This window comes from Homo sapiens, chromosome 8 (assembly GCF_000001405.40).
Source record: "Homo sapiens chromosome 8, GRCh38.p14 Primary Assembly".
In the NCBI taxonomy this organism is placed as follows: domain Eukaryota; kingdom Metazoa; phylum Chordata; class Mammalia; order Primates; family Hominidae; genus Homo; species Homo sapiens.
In genome coordinates this window covers 125,748,546-125,767,849 of record NC_000008.11, presented here as the reverse complement: position 1 = coordinate 125,767,849, position 19,304 = coordinate 125,748,546, and the positions used below count along the sequence as shown (strand labels likewise).

At 39.5% G+C, this 19,304-nt stretch overlaps 1 long non-coding RNA gene across 1 annotated transcript; it reads left to right on the top strand.

Moving 5' to 3' along the window:
• The first annotated feature begins 17,588 nt into the window (after positions 1-17,588).
• Positions 17,589-18,795, top strand: LOC105375747 (uncharacterized). Its single transcript, NR_188064.1, has 2 exons — positions 17,589-17,950; positions 18,502-18,795. It is a non-coding gene; the product is annotated as an uncharacterized LOC105375747 (long non-coding RNA).
• Positions 18,796-19,304: the final 509 nt, after the last annotated feature.

The following is a 19,304-nucleotide window of genomic DNA, read 5'->3' as shown; positions in this document are numbered from 1 at the left end:
CTGTCTGTCCTGGACAACTTTGACAACCACTTTAATGTTGCCCTACTGACACTACACTGCTGGGGCCACCTCCCTAGCTCCAGCTGAGCCCAGCAGCACACAAACCTAAACATGCCTCTCTGCCTTTTGTCTGATCTTCTTCCCAAAGCCCAGAATACTACTAAAAAGCATCACAGAAACAGGCCAGCCAGATTCATACCAGGATGCTGCCCAAAATTGCTATCAGCTCGTGTCCCTAGAACACTCCCTTCAGTATGGCCCTTCTCAGAAGAGCATCTCCCCCTTCTCTTTTACTGAATCAAGATGACAAAAAAAAGACCTCATCTTCTCCCCCTCCAACTCAGCTATGAAGTGCAGGATAGTGGTTAAGGGTACAGACTTGACTCTGAATTCAAGCTCTGCGTGGACTTTCTAAGTGTCCATGAACATGTCTCCTAACTTCATGTATCCTCAGTTTCCCCATCCGTGAAATGAATGGTTCTGAAGATTAAAAGAAGGAATTTATGAAAAGCAATTAGCACAATTTTTACACATTAAATGCTCAAAAAAAGGTTAGTTAATATTCTCTATTATTGTATCTCTGCCCCTTACCTATCTTATTTTCTTTTATGCTTCTCTTAGGAGAAACTGTTCTCCTCCATCTTTACAGGAATAAACTCATCTCCTGTTCTCCAGGAACTTTGGGGGTTACTCTCCACCAATTATCTCAGCTTTTTTCAGTATTAGTATTTACTCTTTTTCTGCCTTCAAAGTTATTTCTCTTCATATTTGTGGGTAATTGATATAAGAAAAATGTGAATAAGAAACACAGGAAAATTCTCTTTCTTACTAATAGTTATAAAAATACACACTAAAACATTCTGAACATCTACTTTTTATCTACTGAAATAATAAAATTATATCTATTAATTTATTCTTTTTTTCAAATGGCAAAACTCCATCAGGAAAGTTGAGGAAAAAATAGATATGATGGTGGCACTATAAAGTGGCACATCTTTGCAGAAAACAATTTAGCAAATGGTGAAAAGAGTCATGAAAGAATATATAGTCTTTGAGCCGGGCGTGTGACTCACGCCTGTAATCCCAGCACTTTGGGAGGCTGAGGCAGGCAGATCACCTGAGGTCGGGAGCTCGAGACCAGCCTGACCAACATGGAGAAACTCTGTCTCTACTAAAAATACAAAGTTAGCCGGGCATGGTGGTGCATGCCTGTAATCCCCGCTACTCAGGAGGCTGAGGCAGGAGAATCACTTGAACCCTGGAGGCGGAGGTTGCAGTGAGCCGAGATCATGCCATCGCACTCCAGCCTAGGCAACAAGAGCGAAACTCTGTCTCAAAAAAAAAAAAAAAAAAGAGAATATATATATATATATATATATATATATATATATATATATATACTCTTTGATCCAGAAATATCAATTTGGATAAATTATCCAAGATAAGAAGAAAGAAGGCAGTATTGTGTGTTACTGTTATCACCACTGCCTCCAAGAACTGTACAGATCTGAAATGGACCACACAATGATGTGAGGGAAGAGTAGAATTTAGAATCAAACAGCCATAAAAATAATAAATCACAAAAAAAAGTTTTAAAGTAGAATTTTGAAATAATTAGTGCTATAAATGGCTAAGTGTTCTTTGCTCTTACTTCATTCAGCCAATAGCAAATTACTGCAGTCCCATTTGGTGGGGTGGCAGGCTAAGAAACAGGGACACAGAGACAAAAGGCAATGGTCTTTACCATCAAAAACTCAGAATTTAGATAGCTACCAAACAGTAAATCACTGCATGATATGACAAGAGATTAGCAAAGAGGAAAGTGCAGTTTTCCTTGGGAGCACTTTCTTAGTCTGTTTGTGCTGCTATAACAAAAAATCTGAGACTAGGTACTTTATAAAGAACAGAAATCTATTTCTTCACCATTCTGGAGGCTGGGAAGTCCAAGGCCAAGTCGCCAGCATCTGGTGAGGGCCTTCTTCCTGCATTAGCCCATGGTGGAAGACAGAAGGGCAGGAGAGAAAGGGCAAACTGGGCCAAAGTTACCACATTTTTACAGCAAACACACTCCTGCAATAACAAACCCATTTCCATGAAGCAGCATTAAGTCCATTTATGAGAGGAAAGCCCTCATGGCTTAATCACTTCTTAAGGGTCTCACCTCTTAATACTTGTATAATATCAATTAAATTTCAATATGAGTTTTGGAGGAAACAAACATTCAAACCATGGCAAGCACTAAGATGGCTGAGGCCAGGAAAGGCTTTCTGAAGGAATCAATATCTGTGCTAAGAGGAGAACTTTTCTAAGCAGAAAAGGAGTGAGAAAGAAAACTTCAGGTGGAGAGAACATTGCTGGAAGGCAGATAATTTGTATAAAAGAGCATGATGCCTTCCAGAAGTGTCAGGTGATTAAATACCTCTGGAATGTGGTGTCCTACAGAGTGGATCCTGCATCCTACAGAGTGGATGAATATAAGGCTGGAGAAGGAAGCAGGAGCCAGGTCAAGTAGGGTCACCATGTTTGTTTGGTATTTTTTTTTTTTTTTGTAAATGTAAAATCATATTTTATTTTATTTTTTCTTTAAAAATTGTTTGTAACTGGCACATAATAATTGTATGCATTTATGGGGTACATAGTGATGTTTCAATACATACAATGTATAGTAATCAGATCAGCAAAATTAGCTTATCCATCCTCTCAAACATCTGTCACTTCTTTGTGTTGGAAACATTCAGTATTTTTCTTCCAGCTGTTTGAAAGTATGTATTAACTGTAGTCATCCTACAGTGCTATAGAACGCTAGAACTTATTCCTCTTACCTAGCTGTACTTTTCTATCTTTAAAAAATCTCTCCTCTATCCCTCCTACCCTTCCCAGCCTCTAGTATACTCTATTCTACTTTTTACTTCTATGACATCAACATTTTTAGTGTTTTATATATTTTAAGTTTTTTATTGATACATAATAGATGTATGTATTTTCTGATAATGTTATACATCCATATAATTTGTAAAGATCAAATCAGGGGGACTGAGATATCCAATTTTTCATATTTAAATGAAATATTCATTTTTGCTTTATGCTAGGAACATTCAAATTATTCTCTTCTAGCTATTTTGAAATGCTCTATAGATTATTGTTAACTATAGTCACTCCACTGTTCTACCAAAAACTTGGTTTTTTTTTTGAGATGGAGTCTCACTCTGTGGCCCAGGCTACAGTGCAGTAGTATGATCTTGGCTCACTGCAAACTCTGCCTCCTGGGTTCAAGCAATTCTCCTGCCTTAGCCTCCTGAGTAGCTGGGATTACAGGCGTGTGCCACCCAGCCCAGCTAATTTTTGTATTTTTACTAGAACCGAGGTTTCACCATGTTGGCCAGGTCAAACTCCTGACCTCAAGTGATCCACCACCCACTTTGGCCTCCCAAAGTGCTGGGATTACAGGCATGAGCCACCGCAGCCAGCCATTATTTCTTCTATCTAACTATATATTTCTACTCCTTAATCAACCTCTCTTCATACTCTCCTCTCCCCTACCCTTCCTGGCCTCTGGTAACCACCAATCTTTCGCTATCTTTATGAGATTCACTTTTTAAATTCCCACATGTGAGTTAGAACAATGCAATATTTGTCTTTCTGTGCTTGACTTATTTCACTTAACATAATGTCCTCTTGTTCCATCCATGTTACTGTAATGACAAGGTTTCACTCTTTTGTATGGCTACATAATATTCCATTGTGTATATATACCACATTTTCTATATCTATTCATCTGTTGTTGGACAGTTGGGTTGATTCCTATCTTGGTTATTGTGAATAAGGCTGCAATAAACGTGGAGATCTAGATGCCTCTTTGATATACTAATTTCCTTTGCTTTGGATGAATGCCCAGTAATGGGGTTGCTGAATCAAATGGTAGTGTTACATGTAGTTTTTTGAGGAACCTCCATAGTGTTCTCTGTGCTAGTTTACATTCCCACCAACAGTATATAAGCATTTCCTTTTCTCCACATTCTTGCCAGCATTTGTTTTTTGTTTTTGTTTTTTGTCTTTTTGATAACAATCATTCTAACTAAGGTGAAATGATATCTCATTGTGGTTTTGATTTGCATTTCCCTGATGATTAGTGACGTTGAATGTTTTTTCATATACTTGTTGGCAATTTGTATGTCTTCTTTTGACAAAATGACTGTTCAGATTATTCGCCCATGTTTTTAAACTGGATTTTTTTTTTTTTTTTTTTGGCTGTTGAGATGTTTAAGTTTCGTGTATATTCTGGATATTAATCTCCTGTCAAATGAATAGTTTCCAAATATTTTCTCCCATTCCGTAAGTTATATTTTCACTCTGTTGATTTCTTTGTAGTGCAGAATTTTTTTAGCTTGATGTAATCCCATTTGTTTAATTTTGTTTTTGTTGCTTATATTTTTGAGTCTTATTCGCAAAATCTTTCCCCACACCAATGTCCTGAAGAGCTTCTCCTGTTTTTTTTCTTCTAGTACTTTTATAGTTTCACACCTTACATTTAGGTCTTTAATCCATTTTGAGTGATTTTTGTATAAGGTGAGAGAGGTGGGGGCCTAAAATTTTATTCTTCTGTATATGAATATCCAGTTTTACTAGCACCATTTATTGAAACAACTGTCCTGTACCCAGTGAATGTTCTTGGTGCCTTTGTCAAAAATTAGTTGGCTATAGATATGTAGATTAATTTCTACATTCTTGGATCACCATGTTTTAAACGACAAACTGTACACAGAAGGTTCTGGAAGGTCCTGAAAGATTTGAGGAAGGAACATTATGTAACAACAGCCGTTGCAGATGAGGCAATGAGTTGCTGATGTTCAGATGACTGTTTAACATAAATTATTTTATATAGTGAATATGTAATCAGGGAGAAAAAATCTATTCTAAAATGAGAATCCTTTCCTTCCCCTCTGCCCACTAACATTTTTAAGCCATGTATTTTCATCTTCAAACAAAAATAATACATTTATTCAATCATGCTGTTTATTTTAGCTACCACTGCTCAGTATCTTGGACATGTGACCAACATCTCCTGCTTCTATGCTCCCATCTCAGACTTTCTACTGAAACTTTTTCATTCATACTACTGTCCCCAAGGCCTTACAGAGCTAGTCGTCTCAAACAAATTATTTATGATTGTTATGAAGCAGGAATCACGTGAGGTTCAGAGATGGAAGGGAATAGGATAGTCACATGGTCCTTACATTCCAGAAGCATATGGAACAGGGGCAAGAAAAGATACAACCCAGAGATCACCTGGGGTTTGCGTGCCCCGAGGAGAGCTAGATAAAATAGGCTCAAAACTCTCAATTCCATCTGTTCCATAGATTCACGTCCTCCCCACAAAATTTCTACAAATGACACCAAAGATCTCACTCCAAAATTATGACCTCCTCTACTGTCTACTACTCCAGGATTTCTCTGTGCCTGTGTCAAGGGGGCCCCTCAGATGTGAAACTTAGCCCCTTTTAAGAGGCCCTTCCTTCCCCCGCATCCCTCCCACCCCAGAAAATTTACTCAGCACTAAGAATTGGTACATATATAAAATTCACTGCAAATGTATGGGACAGAGAGGGGAGACGAAGCACATGCAAGTGATCCAGCAAATTTAAAACGTAGCAGATACCATCAACTGTGATGAATGAATGCAAAATGATGGGGGGAGGGGGTAATGCAGGAAGAAAGGGAATTCACCACTTTCACCTTATCTACACGCTGTCTCCATCCCTCTTCTGACTTCTCTCTCAAATCATTACTCCTCCTTGCCTGGGAACTCCAAATTCTTCTCACTCCATTAATCAGAGCCATTCAGCATTCCACAGCACCCCCTTGAAAATGGAATATTCCTGAGATTTTAATCTTGCCTCTGCCATTTACTAACTCTGTGACTCAGAAAAGTCACTTAACTTCTCTGAACCTCAGATTCCTCTTCCATAAAATAAGAATAATTATCAGGCCAAGGATTGCTATCATCATATTTTAAGCAATTAATGAGCTTTTCTCCTTTGCATTTCTGTGTACATAATCTGTGTAATCAATCTGAATTACTAATCTGCCTTGCCTTGAGATGGAGGTAAGAAAATTACAATAGGTCTTCAAGGAGAAAGGAAAGAATTACTATGCTGAGCAAATATACAAAATAGGAAGTTGCAACCAGACAACAGTATTGAAATGCAGGTTTTGTCAAGAAAGAGATTTTTCTAAATTACTTTCTCTCCTTCCTTTACTATTATCAAGAGATTGTCCTGGCATAATTGGTATTACCCTTTTGCATAAGGGCAGTCCCAATCCAATAAGAAGAAAAGATTAGGGAAAACTTCCCTTTTCTATCCCAGTGAAAGATGGGAAAAGATGGAAGGTAGAGATAAAGGAAGAAGGTCATTAGGAAACCCTCTATCAATCTCCTCTATCAAACTCTGTCTCCAAGTCAAAGTTCCAGAGTGGAGAAAAAGTGTTTCCTAAGTTGATGGAGATTCTGGGGAACCAGTTAGGATCTGGTTGCAGTAATTTAGAAAAAGTTAATAGAGACTAGGACTTTGGTAACTGCCAATAGGGATTTAAAGAGAGAGCTGGAATTTACACATATTAAAGAGGTAGAATCACTAAGACTTGATGAATGACTGGATGCCTTTTCAATTTACAAATCCAGTCTTTAATATCTTCACATTTGTTAGTTTTGAGATCATCTTCCTAAATTCTTTCCTCCCTGGATTTCTGTGAGCTTATACAACATGGCCATTCTGTGCCTCTCTGAAATCTTATTCTCTGCCATGCTAAAGAGTTAGCTTACTTTTCATAGCATAAGTGATTAAAGAAGTTTGTAGAGTGAGGAATGGCCTAGTTTATTTCAGGGCTATGCTAGTGTTTGTAACCCAATAGACAACAAGTTGTACAAGATTTTCTTTAAGATGAAAATGGCTACAAATTCTATCCAACCCTAGTAAAATAACTATTATACAAGATAGTAGCTTAATCCAGAAAAATAAGCTAATTTAGAATTTTCAGTTGACAATTCATCAATATTTGGTATAGAGTAGTGCCAAAAATGTCGTTAGCAGCTATTACCTGACTCTAGCTTGGTAATAAAAAAGACTATCAACTACTTTCTATTTATTATTTTAGTCAGCTTAATGGTGATAGCAATCCTTGGCCTTTCTAGGAAAATATAGATGTACAAAGCACTTTCTAATACTCACGTGCATCTCATGGTGTACAAGGAAGGCAGAGAGGTGTTATAGTATCTGTATTTTACAGAAAAGGGAACTAAAGATCACAGAAGAATATGTGAATTGGGATGCAAAGAAGGAAAATGGTAAAGAAACTCTCAGTATCCTTTAGGAAATAGATGTCTATTTCCATTCATCTGACCCCTCCCACATCCTCCATGATTCCTGAGAGATTGCTCACAGAGAGAGCTGCTTCGCACTGACAAGTACTCTTAAAGCCCTTGGATGGAAGTGTTCTGGGCTGAGACATTTGAACACTTTCAGTCTTTTCTTCGACTTTCCTTAATCTACTTGGGCTTCTGTTTCCCTTGGTTACATAGAGGTCTCTAACATTTCCAGTTGATTGCCATTCATCTTGACAGACAGTATACTTGTTAAAAGTCTTCTGGTTGTAAGTAACAGAAAGTGAACTCTAACTTGCCTCTGCAAAGGAAACAAGGAAGTTAAGTAACCAAGCGGAGAAGGGTATGGGTGTCACAGGGTCTGAGGAGCACTGGAACTCACCTGGATCCTGGCTCCCCTCTCTGTGCTGCCTTTGCTTCTACCACCTGACACTGATCTTTACATTAATGGGAAATATGGTCAGTGAATGGTCCCACATTTTCTATCATGTGGAATTGGTCGCCCAAAATTGACAGATCTATTTTTCCCCAATTCCAAAAGCTCCTGGAAAGGGATTCATTGCCCACGCCTGAGCAAAGAGTCCATTGCTAGACAAGTCAACTGGGCCAGGGAAGCAGGCCATGTTATAGTTTTATGACAAACCCCACGTAAATCATTTGGTCAAAGATATGTAAAATTTCTAGAAAAGGGGGTTAAACAGAAAAGCTCAGGAGTTGGTCACACACACACAAAAAAAAGATAAAAGCAAACAAGTACTAGCACCTCTGTCTCCTTCTGCCATGTTCTTACCATATCACCTGACACGAGCTGTGGGAATATGTGGGAATTCCTTGTTATCTTTCCTACTCTACACATAGCTAAACTCCTCTTTTAATTTTTCTTAGCACCTTTACAAAGCTTTAGCTTACTCTTTCTGATGCATTAAGATCATCTGTATCTTATACAATGAGAGATCCTCTTGCACACCTCCCAGAGATGGCGTCGTCTCCCTATTTGAAGTCGTTGGTCAGAGGGGCATAATCACATTTCCTCTGAAATTTTTACAACATCACCTAGCTTGGTGGTATTAATAAAAGATGCTTTAACAAAATAAACCACCATATCTGTTCACTTTTTCCAAGAACACTGAAGTGCCAGGCATGGGCTGCACCATAGATGGAAGTGGGAAAGAAGCTACAGGTAAAGAACAAGATACCCAGAGATGGCTCCTAACATCTAGCAGGAGAGGCAGACAAGGGTACAAATTAAATCTGTCCAGTGTGTTAAGTGCTGAAGGTGATCTAGCCATGGTGTTTGAGAGCCCCAAGAAAGAAGAAACTGGCTCAGGAAAGGGACTAAAAAGTGTTAAAGTCTCTGTACTGGCATTAAAATAATATATGGTTCCTCTTTTTTTATCTTGTCTCAACGAGGAGACTGCCAGAGTCACAAGATCATAAAATCACTAACCTTGAAGTTGAAGTGACATGAAAGGTCATCCAACTTAATCTTCTACCCAAGATACAAATTTCTCCTGCCAACCTGTCTCTGCCTGGCCTCCCATGATGTGGAGTTCACTGGGATCAGAGTGGAATAGGTTGTCATAATGGAGAAAGAAAAGGGTTTGAGGTCAGATGAACTGGGCTTTGAAATCCAACACACACTAGCTTTGTGATCACAGACTGATAACAGCCTCTCTGGGTGATAGATGCCTTGTTGGTTAAATGCTGTTGCATTACCTAGCACACAGGGTTTTTGCGGGTGAAGGCCTGGACTATGTACCTCATTGAGGCAGCCCATTCTGTTGTAGGACAAATGGAATTGATAGGAAGATTGTTGTTGGTTTAAGAGAAAAACTGCTTCTCACACATTCTGTATGCATTGGTCCTGATTTTGCACTCTGTACAGGCTTTTTGTTTCCCTACCTAACGGTACTCCAGGCTGGACTATGATAATAAACCAATGCCCTTTTTTCCACAGCTCTCCTATCTCTGCTGTGGCCAATTCTCCTGGCTTATTGCTAAATCTTTGTATTTTTTCAAATTCAGCCCTGAAGAGATTCAAACTAGTAGCCCTCACAGTGTCTGCTTAGTACAATAAACAGGCTTTAAATTCAATCTTGGGTGCTGCAATTCTCTTTCAATAGGATTACATAAAATGGAAATGTCAAAAGTTGAAGAAAGTATAACTGTTTGACAATTGAAGACAGAACCATGAGATAGAGGAATTCAAACTAGCTCATTGGGTCTCACAAAGGATGTTTCTGTTGCAAGAAAAACGATATATAGGATCTCCTGCCGCTCCAAAATCAAATTCATTGTGTTCAGATAAGATGCCAAAAGGAATCCCATTGACAGATATAAAATATTCAAGCCACAGACTCTGTGGCTGAATGCCAGGCTTTCAGCTCTCTTACATACCATCTTTAGCAATGCAAAGCAAATAAAATAAGGTTTCTTTCATAAGAGAATGGCACGTTTCTTACTGACTCCTACATAATACAAACCCCTCTGACCAATGGTGGACTAACAGTCCCATTATTTCAATGTATATGCAAATTGCACACCAAAATGATATGCAATATTATATAGATAAAGACCAATTTCACTTTCTGACTGTATTTCCAAATACGTTTTGTGGGAGTGTGAAGGAGGGGAATCAGTTGGCACCCTTTAACATCATTTTTTAAAAATTTTAGGGAAAATGTAGCAATTTGGAAATGACTACAGACTTCAACATTTTTTCATTTTGCTATTTAACTTCCATTATTGTATATCTCAGCAGGTAATGGAGTGAGTAAATACCTTGTAATAAGATCAGGAGTCATGGAAGAGACCCCCTATAGCCAATTACATATTTTTATTTAGAGATGCTTCTTTGAGAATTATATGCTCATTTGGCAATTCCTTTGGAAAATAATGGAGGGGATAAAACATTTTTCAAAGCTCTTGGGGACAGCTATTCAAAAACCAAAGTGCTAAGCAGGCCTGCACAGAGGGAGAGTGGTCCTTTGTGGCTGAGTGGTGCCCTGCTGTTTGTACCATGTTCAGAGTCAACCTACTGCAATGAAACATTCTACAACCATAATTAAATGTTGTTTGAAAAGGTCTTTTTGAATTTGAGGAGACATTTGTAATATGAAATGCCATCAAAGGAATGGACTGGAACGGAGGTCATCAACAAGTGAGGTAGTGTTGCATGCTGATGCAAATCAGACACCTAAGGGAAAATAACACACATGGGAAACCTCTGGAGGTAAAAGAGTCTTAAAAGTCAAGTGATGGCAAAGAATTTATGGCTAAGTCTTCAAAAGCAATTGCAACAAAAACAAAAATTGACAAGTAGGATCTAATTAAACTAAAGAATTTCTACAGAGCAAAAGAAACTATCAACAGAGTAAACAGACAACCTAAAGAATGGGAGAAAATATTCACATACAAGGCATCCAATAAAGATCTGATATCCAGAATAAGAACTTAAATCAACAAGCAAAAAACAAATAACCCCATTAAAAAGCAGTCAAAGGACATAAACGGACACTTCTTAAAAGAAAGCATACAAGCAGCCAATAAACATATGAAAAAATGTTCATCATCACTAATCATCAGAAAAATGCAAATCAAAACCACAATGAGACACCATCTCACACCAGTCAGAATGGCTTTTATCAAAAAGTCAAAAAATAATGGAGGCTGGCAGGGCTGCAGAGAAAAGGGAACACTTATACACTGCTGGTAGAAATGTAAATTAGTTCAGCCACTGTGGAAAGCAGTTTGGAAATTTCTCAAAGAACTAAGAGTTGAACTACCATTCAACCCACCAATCCCATTACTGAATATGCACCCAAAGGAAAATAAATTGTTCTACCAAAAAGACACATCCACTCATACGTTCATTGCATAATTATTCACAATAGCAAAGACTTGGAATCAACCCAGGTGCCCATCAACAGTAGATTAGATAAAGAAAATGTGATACATATGTCAGAGCATTTGAACAAGAGCAACTCCATCTCGAATAGGGGCTGGATAAAATAAGGCTGAGACCTGCTGGGCTGCATTCTCAAATGGTTAGGTATTCTAAGTCACAGAATAAAATAAGAGGTCAGCAAAAGATACAGGTTCATAAAGACCTTTCTGATAAAACAGGTTGCAGTAAAAAAGCAGGCGAAAAACACCAAAACCAAGATGGCAATGAAAGTGACCTCTGGTGGGCCTCACTGCTACACTCCCACCAGTGCCATGACAGTTTACAAATGCCATGGCAATGTCAGGAAGTTACCCTATATGGTCTAAAAAGGGGAGACATTAATAATCCACCCCTTGTTTAGCATATAGTCAAGAAATAACCATAAAAAATGCACAACCACCAGCCCTTGGGGCTGCTCTGTCTATGGAGTAGCCATTCTTTCATTCCTTTACTTTCTTAATAAACTAGTTTTCACTTTACTTTCTGGACTCACCCCAAATTCTTTCGTGCCTGAGATCCAAGAACCCTCTCTTGGGGTCTGGATCAGGACCCCTTTCCACTAACACATACATACCATGGAATACAACATAGCCATAAAGAGAATGAAATCACGTCCTTTGTAGCAACATGGATGCAACTGGAGGTAATAATCCTAAGCAAACTAATGCAGAAAAGGAAAACCAAATATGACATGTTCTAACTTATAAATGAGAGCTGAACATTGGGTACACATGGGTATAAAGATGGAAACAATAGATGCTGGAGAATACAAGAGGAAGAAGAAAGGAGATGAGCAAGGATTCAAAAACTACCTACTTGGTACTATGCTCACTACCTGGGTGATGGGTTCAATCGCACTCCACACCTGAACATCACGCAATATACCTCCTTGGTAACAAACCTGCACATGTACTCCCTGAATCTAAAGTAAAAGTTGAAAAAAGGAAGAATAAAAATAAAAGGTAAGTGGAAGGAAGACCTCCTGGATGGAGACAAAAAACCTAGAGGAGCATTCACTCTGAAGCTAAGGCACAGAAACAGAAGTGATTAAAGCATAGGCTCCACATCACACTACCTGAGCAAGCCAGTCTGTTAGCATCTAAGCACAACTTTTGCATCTGTAAAACAGGATAATGGTAATATCTAGCTCACTATAAAGCATTTAGCTTAGAGCCTGGTACATGGGTAAAGCACAGTTATAATTAGCTATTAGTGGAACGATATCAATTAATGTCCCTTAGACTAGGGCAAGGGGTACCACATCATTTAAGGTGTTCTCCTTGTAATTTTCTAAAGACATTTCTGTTGCCTAAAACGGGTCTTGGTCAAGGAATGCCATCAGGTGAGAGGTACACCAAGCCCGAACCAGACTAGCCTCTAGGCTCTGTTTCTCCCTTTTGGGTTGCTCTCCAACCTTCTGTTCCCACCCTCAATATGTGGTTGACCAGATGTCCCATGATGCTCCAGGACTTCTACTAAATTGTTCAGGAGCCTTATGGCTAAACCCCAGATCCAGAAGAGTGTCCTAGCATGGGTATTCCTCCTACTGTCCAGTGTATTATTTCTTTTGCAGAAATTATGCAAGATGTGCCCATCAAAATGGTGCTGACATGTTGATTTGGGATAACTCAAAAAAAATATCTCCTGGGGCTCCTACATATTTTAAGGGCAGCCCTGGGAATGGACACTCATTTCATTAATTTACTACACCATTTATTTAACCAATATTTCATAGAAAGAATGGAGGCTTGGCCTTCATAAGACATAGTTTCCAAGTCCAAATCCAATTAAATCTTGACTATGAAATGTCTTTGTAAAATAAGAAATGAAACACAGTGAAAGTGGCTGTCAATAGACCCCATAAAAATAGAAATAATTTTTTTTTAAGAGATAAGACCTCACTCTGTAACCCAGGCTGAAGTACAGTGGTGCAATCATAGCTGACTGCAACCTCAAACTCCTGGGCTCAGGTGATCCTCCCGCCTCAGCTTCCCACAGGCACATGCCACCATGGCTAATTTTTTTTAATTTCTGGCAGTCATAGAGTCTCACTATGTTGCCGTGAATTCCTGGTCTCAAGCAATCCTCCTGCCTCAGCCTCCCAAAGTTCTGGGAATACAGGCATGAGCCATTGCATCCAGCTAGAAATATCAGTTTGACAAGGACAAATACTAATTCTTCTCCCCCTGAAAGCTAAAGATGACATTTGCATTGTGCACATGGCTTCTCCCCATCCCCTATGCTGTTCTATCTTTGCTGGCCATTTCTGGGCTATTCTCTGTAGTTCAGAATAGGAAAATGAGAGCAAGGAACCACAGTAGCCAGAGGAAGAGGCAGGAGGGGAAAAGACCAACGTCACTTGTCCTGGAGAAGACAGAGAAAAGGGTCCGAGGAGGGGGAGGTATGGGACAGCTTTGGAGAATGAGACCATGGGGAGCAAGAAAGGAAAGCAGCATGTGGCTCTGCATTTTGAGATGGATTCTTTCATATTCTTCAAGAGAACTGGGTAAAGACTGCAAGTGCTTTGCAAAGACTTTTCCTTGTTGGAATGCATTTCTTTGAGTGTGACAGTGCACCAGAGAGGAATGATGTAGAGCCGTGGGATCTGAGTACTAGTAATAGTGTATTAAAAATAATAGTCATAACAGTGGCAGCCATGGGAGCAGAAACAGTAGAGGTATCAACAATTGGGCAAGTCAGGTTCACTTTCTGGGCCTCAGGTTTTTTATTTGCAAAACGAGGGCATTCAAAGCTTCTTCTAAGGTTTATTATTCTGTGATTCTACTCATGTCTGCAAAGTGCCCAGTCCTGAGTTAGATGATACAGGAGGGACACAGGATATATAACACATGATTCCAGCTCTCCAGGGTTTGAAAAAGAGAAGGGCCTTCTTGCTGTTCCTTCACACTCATGGCTGATTGCTGCCTCAGTGCTTTTGCACTTGCTCTTTCTTCTTCTTGGAATGCTCTTGCCCCAGATATTCACATATGTTCTTCCCTCCCTTCCTTCAGGTGTTTGCTCTTAATGAGGTCCTCCCTGACCACCTTCCCACACTCCCTCCCATTTGGCACTCTCTCTGCTTTTCCTGCTTAATTTTCCACTATTCTTGTGGTCATCTAATATATTATATAACATATTGATTTGTTCATCATCTGTTATTCCACATCAGAATTTACGCTTTACTATGACAGGATTTTCTTTTCTATTTCATTCATTGCTATATGCCCAGCAACTAGAATAGTACCTGGCATGTGGCAGGGGCTTGGTAAAAAACAATGAATGAATTAATAGGAGACACGACATGACTTGGTCAAGCAACAGAACAACAAGCCTGCATTTAATATGCATAAGAAGTCAAAATAAAAGCACTTAAGGGATTCAGAGAAGGGAAAAAAGGTTATGAGCTGAAGCACTCAGGAGAAGACTTGACAGGTTGGGGAATATTACGTCGTGTTTCCATAGATGGGATGGCCCTCCTCTCTGACATTCCCTGAGGCAGTCAAGTAAAACATGAATATAAATTACTTTTGGCTGTGGGTATTTTTTAGCTATTTGGATGGTGTATCCTTTAACATGAGCCCTTTCTGAGACTGGATTATGTAAGTCCCTGTAATAATGAGGGTTGTAATTGAGAATATACTGTCTTCTCCACTATCAACACTTGCAATGTACAATTTCAGCTCTTGGAACCAATTGCAGCCTCTTGCATTCATTTAACCAATATTTCTTGAACACCTACTGGATTTTGGGGATCTATTGAATCACAATTTGTGGCAGCATAAGTAGTAGAACCTTCTTGTATTCTCCCAGAGTCACCCTAAAGCCAATCTCCATGATCCATATTATTAAATTGACGTTGTCGTTTTCAAATAAAGACTTAAAGACTTTGGGAATCTAGGGACTGTGTGTTACTTAGCAGTTGATGTAGCAAAACACCAAACTTGTATTCCTTATGACTCAAACTCTTCTTCTAAACCCCCTCCCCTTTCCTTACAAAAGCATCCTTGATTTGAACCTGCAGTGACAGTCTATCATGATGTCTAGACTTCAGCCTTGTCACATGCCCAGAAATAATGACCACTCTTTCACTCTATGGCTCAGGTACTACACATTCTGAACCTACAACAGCCTCACCTACAACCTTTATTCATTTCCAACCCATGAAGATCAACGCTGAGAAACAAGAATTTCACAGAAACAAGTGCTCTGAAGATATTGCACCAGGCTTCCCCAAGTTGTCAGCAGGTTCACCCTCTGTGAAGAGACCTGCCGTGATTGCCTAGCGACTTTGAAGGGCTTGGTAAATATTAGAAAAAGCTTTTCCCAAGCTCCCAAATGTTATTAGGCAGCATGAGGAGAAAAGTTAAAGTTGTACAGAGACATGACCTTCAAAAACGCAGAAGAAAATAGATATCATAAGTGGGAAGGAATAGAACAGCTCTAGGGTTAGTTCACAATTTAACCCTTGCATTTCTCATAATGCTGACATGTTTAGGGCCCCAGTCTCTCCAAGATCTTTGTTACCCTGACCAAGACGGGCAAGTTACCTGATCTGTGTAAGTCTCAGCATTGCTAACTGTAAAATACGGATGTTATCTTCATGGGATTATTTAGAAAACTTTAAAAGATTTTATATGTACAATGCCTAGAATACTGTGTGATACATAGGATTATATAAATAAGGGCGTTTTTACATTCCCTTCTACAACATTGTTCAATGTTATAGTGCCCTGCATAGCAGGCATTTGCTTTCTAAAAGAGGCCTGGGAGCCAGGCCCAGTGGCTCACGCCTGTGATCCCAACACTTTGGGAGGCCAAGGCGGGTAGATCACAAAGTCAAGAGTTTAAGACCAGCCTGGCCAATATGGTGAAACCCCATCTCTACTAAAAATTCAAAATAATTAGCCGGGCGTGGTGGCGCATGCCTGTAATCCCAGCTACTCGGGAGGTTGGGGCAGGAGAATTGCTTGAACCCAGGAGGCGGAGGTTGCAGTGATCCCAGATCGCACCACTTCACTCCAGCCTGGGTGACAAAGCGAGACTCCGTCTCAAAAAACAAAAAACAAACAAACAAAAAAACACCTGGAGAGAAGTACATGACAGAGGCCTAGGGACTGAGCCCATGATTTTAACAACGGTCATTCAAATTTAAGTGTGGCTCAGTGAGGTAGAAAGGCTGGAGCTTAGGAGAGCTGGACTCCAGTTGACTGGAATATGTGACTTAGTTTCCTCAAACTATAGATAGCATAGCACATCCTAACATACAGTGCTGTTTGTATCAAAATCCAGTAATGGAGTAGGGGTGAAAGCTATTAGAAAATTCTAAATAGTTATTAAATGTAAGGTCATTGTTATTATTGTCAGTGAAATGAATCATCGGGACTAGATAACTCCAAGCTCACTTCAAGCTCTGACATTGTATGACCTTAGAGACTTTAGCTCACTCCGGACCTCGAGCCAGTGACTTTGCCTCTCTTTTTTCCCTTGTCCCACCTCCCCACCACCGCCTGTCACCTGGTTGCAAACACACTAGTAAGAATATTTTAAATGTATGTAGCACATTTTTCTCCAGAACAGTGAAACCACTTGGTTTTAGAGCTGTCCAATTTTATTTTACATCTGCATCACACAATAATACAAAGCAGAATCCCAGGTATCGTTTTATTAGGTCAGCCTGAGCTGTCTGCTCATGACTGACTTAGCACAAATCAGATTTTAGGCCTGAGCAAACATTTCCAAGAGAAAATCCCAAGTTAAACTAGAATTGTCTTCCATTATTTTGTAGACCAATGAAAATTTGAACTTGAGTAGCTGTGGTCAATTAAAGATGTTTGCAATATTATTTAGTTTTTAAAAAGGAAGGAAATTCTGACATCCTACAACATGGAGGAGCCTTGAAATCATTATGCTAAGTGAAATAAACCAGACACAAAAGGACAAACACTCTGTTACCAGTGGAGGGTAGTTGTCCAGGTTCTTGGCATTTTGAGCAAAGAATTAGGCAAAACACACAAACAAAGCATGGCAGAGAAAGCAGAGATTTATTTTAAGCAAAAGTATACTCCACAGGGTGGGAGCAGGTTCAAGCAAGAGGGCTGGTTACAGAATTTTCTGTAGTTTCAATGCACCTCTAGAGGGTTCTCATTGACCTCTGACCAGTCTGATTGGTTGTGGGAGGGGACCAATCAGAATGAAGAGTAGGCCTGTAACCAGTCTGATTGGTTGTGAGAGAGGACCAATCAGAGGTATTTTCATTTTTCAACTGCCACACAGAAAATGGAGGGGTTGCCGCTGCCACACAGCAATTACCATGCAGAAAAAGGAGTTGAGAAGGGAGTAGCCTCTGATATGTAGTCAGCATGAATCAGCCTTAGGTTCCCTGCCTCCATACCCAATTCTTCTGCCTCATTATGATTCCACTATGAGGCATCCAGAGTAGTCAAACTTATAAAGACAGAAAGTAGAGCTGTGGCTGCCAGGTGGGTGGAAGGAGAGAGAAGTAGTTATTGCTTAATGAGTAGGAAATTTCAGTTTGGGAAGACGAAAAATGTTCTGAAGATGGATGGTGGTGATGGTCGTGCAACAATGTGAATGTACTTGATGCCACATAAAAAGTGGCTAACATGGTAAATTTCATGTGTATTTTATATATGTATATTTTTATTTTGTTATGTGTATTTTATCACAGTATATTTTAAAAAGTGGCTGCAAATTATTTTCTATCTCTCTCATTGAGAAGTGGAGTCTAATTCTCCTCCCCTTGAAATCAGGCTAGCCTTTGAGACTTTCTTGACTAATATAAAGTGGCAGAAATAAAGTTCTGGAATTTCCAAGGCTAGGTCATAAGTTTTGTAGGCTTCTTGGAAGCCTTGCTATGGATTGTTAATGGGGAAGAGGGTGTGGAATTCGCATGCCCCAGGAAATATTTGGCAATGTCTGAGATTTTCGTTGTTATTATTGTTATAACTGGGGAGGTCAGAGGGTGCTGCTGGTATCTAGTGGGTAGAGTCCAGGGATGCTGATAAACATTCTGTTACACACGACACCTCAATCCCAACAAAGTATGGTCTGGCTCAAAATGTCAACAGTGCCAGGGCTGAGAAACTCAGCTGTGGGGAAAGCCAGCTGCCCTAAAATCATTACGTTATGAGGAAATCCATGCTTACTGTGTGCACAGACCACATGGAAGGAGAGAAAACACCTGAACAGCTCCAACTGTGGCAGCCATACCAGCCCAGATGCCAGACAGTGAATGAAGACGGGCATCCCATTCCCAGTAGAAATGACGTGAAGAACCGAAAAAAACTCACCGACAGCCCTAGATATACACCTCCAGGTGACCAACCCAGACACCACCAACAGTTAGCGCTACTCCAGCTGAATACTCCCCAACAAAAATCTATCCTTGCTATGTGTTGCCTGAATTCATGACCAACAACGGTATGAACATAATAAAATGATTGTTATTTTATGCCACTTAATTTTAGAGTGGTTTGTTCATAGCAATAGATAACCAAAACAGCAGCCTGCTAATCTCACAGAAGAGATTAGAAACATTCAACGTGGTTTTAGGAAGACTGAAACTAAGTAGACAGTGCAGGTTAATTCAAGCTTAACCTGAGTGACCCCACCTGAGAAATGGGGATCTAAATCTCTATCCTGCATGAAATTGAGAAAATTTAATAAAATCAGGTATTTAAAAGCGCTTAGGGTAATACCTGGACGAGTAGAGCTATTCAATAAATAACTTTAGATTGGATTTGATCTGGGTTGTCTTAATACAAAGCAAAAATGACCTTTATCATAGACTAGCTTTTTTTAAACATTGAGTAGCTTAAATTAGCATGAAGTGATTTTGTCTCAGAAACTGTCTTTTCTCCCACCCACCTCATGTAAATATCTCTTGCAAATCTTTCTCAAAGAGACCCAGGTTGGAGTTCTACTTCTAACCCTTACTAGCTGCATAACCATGAGTTATTA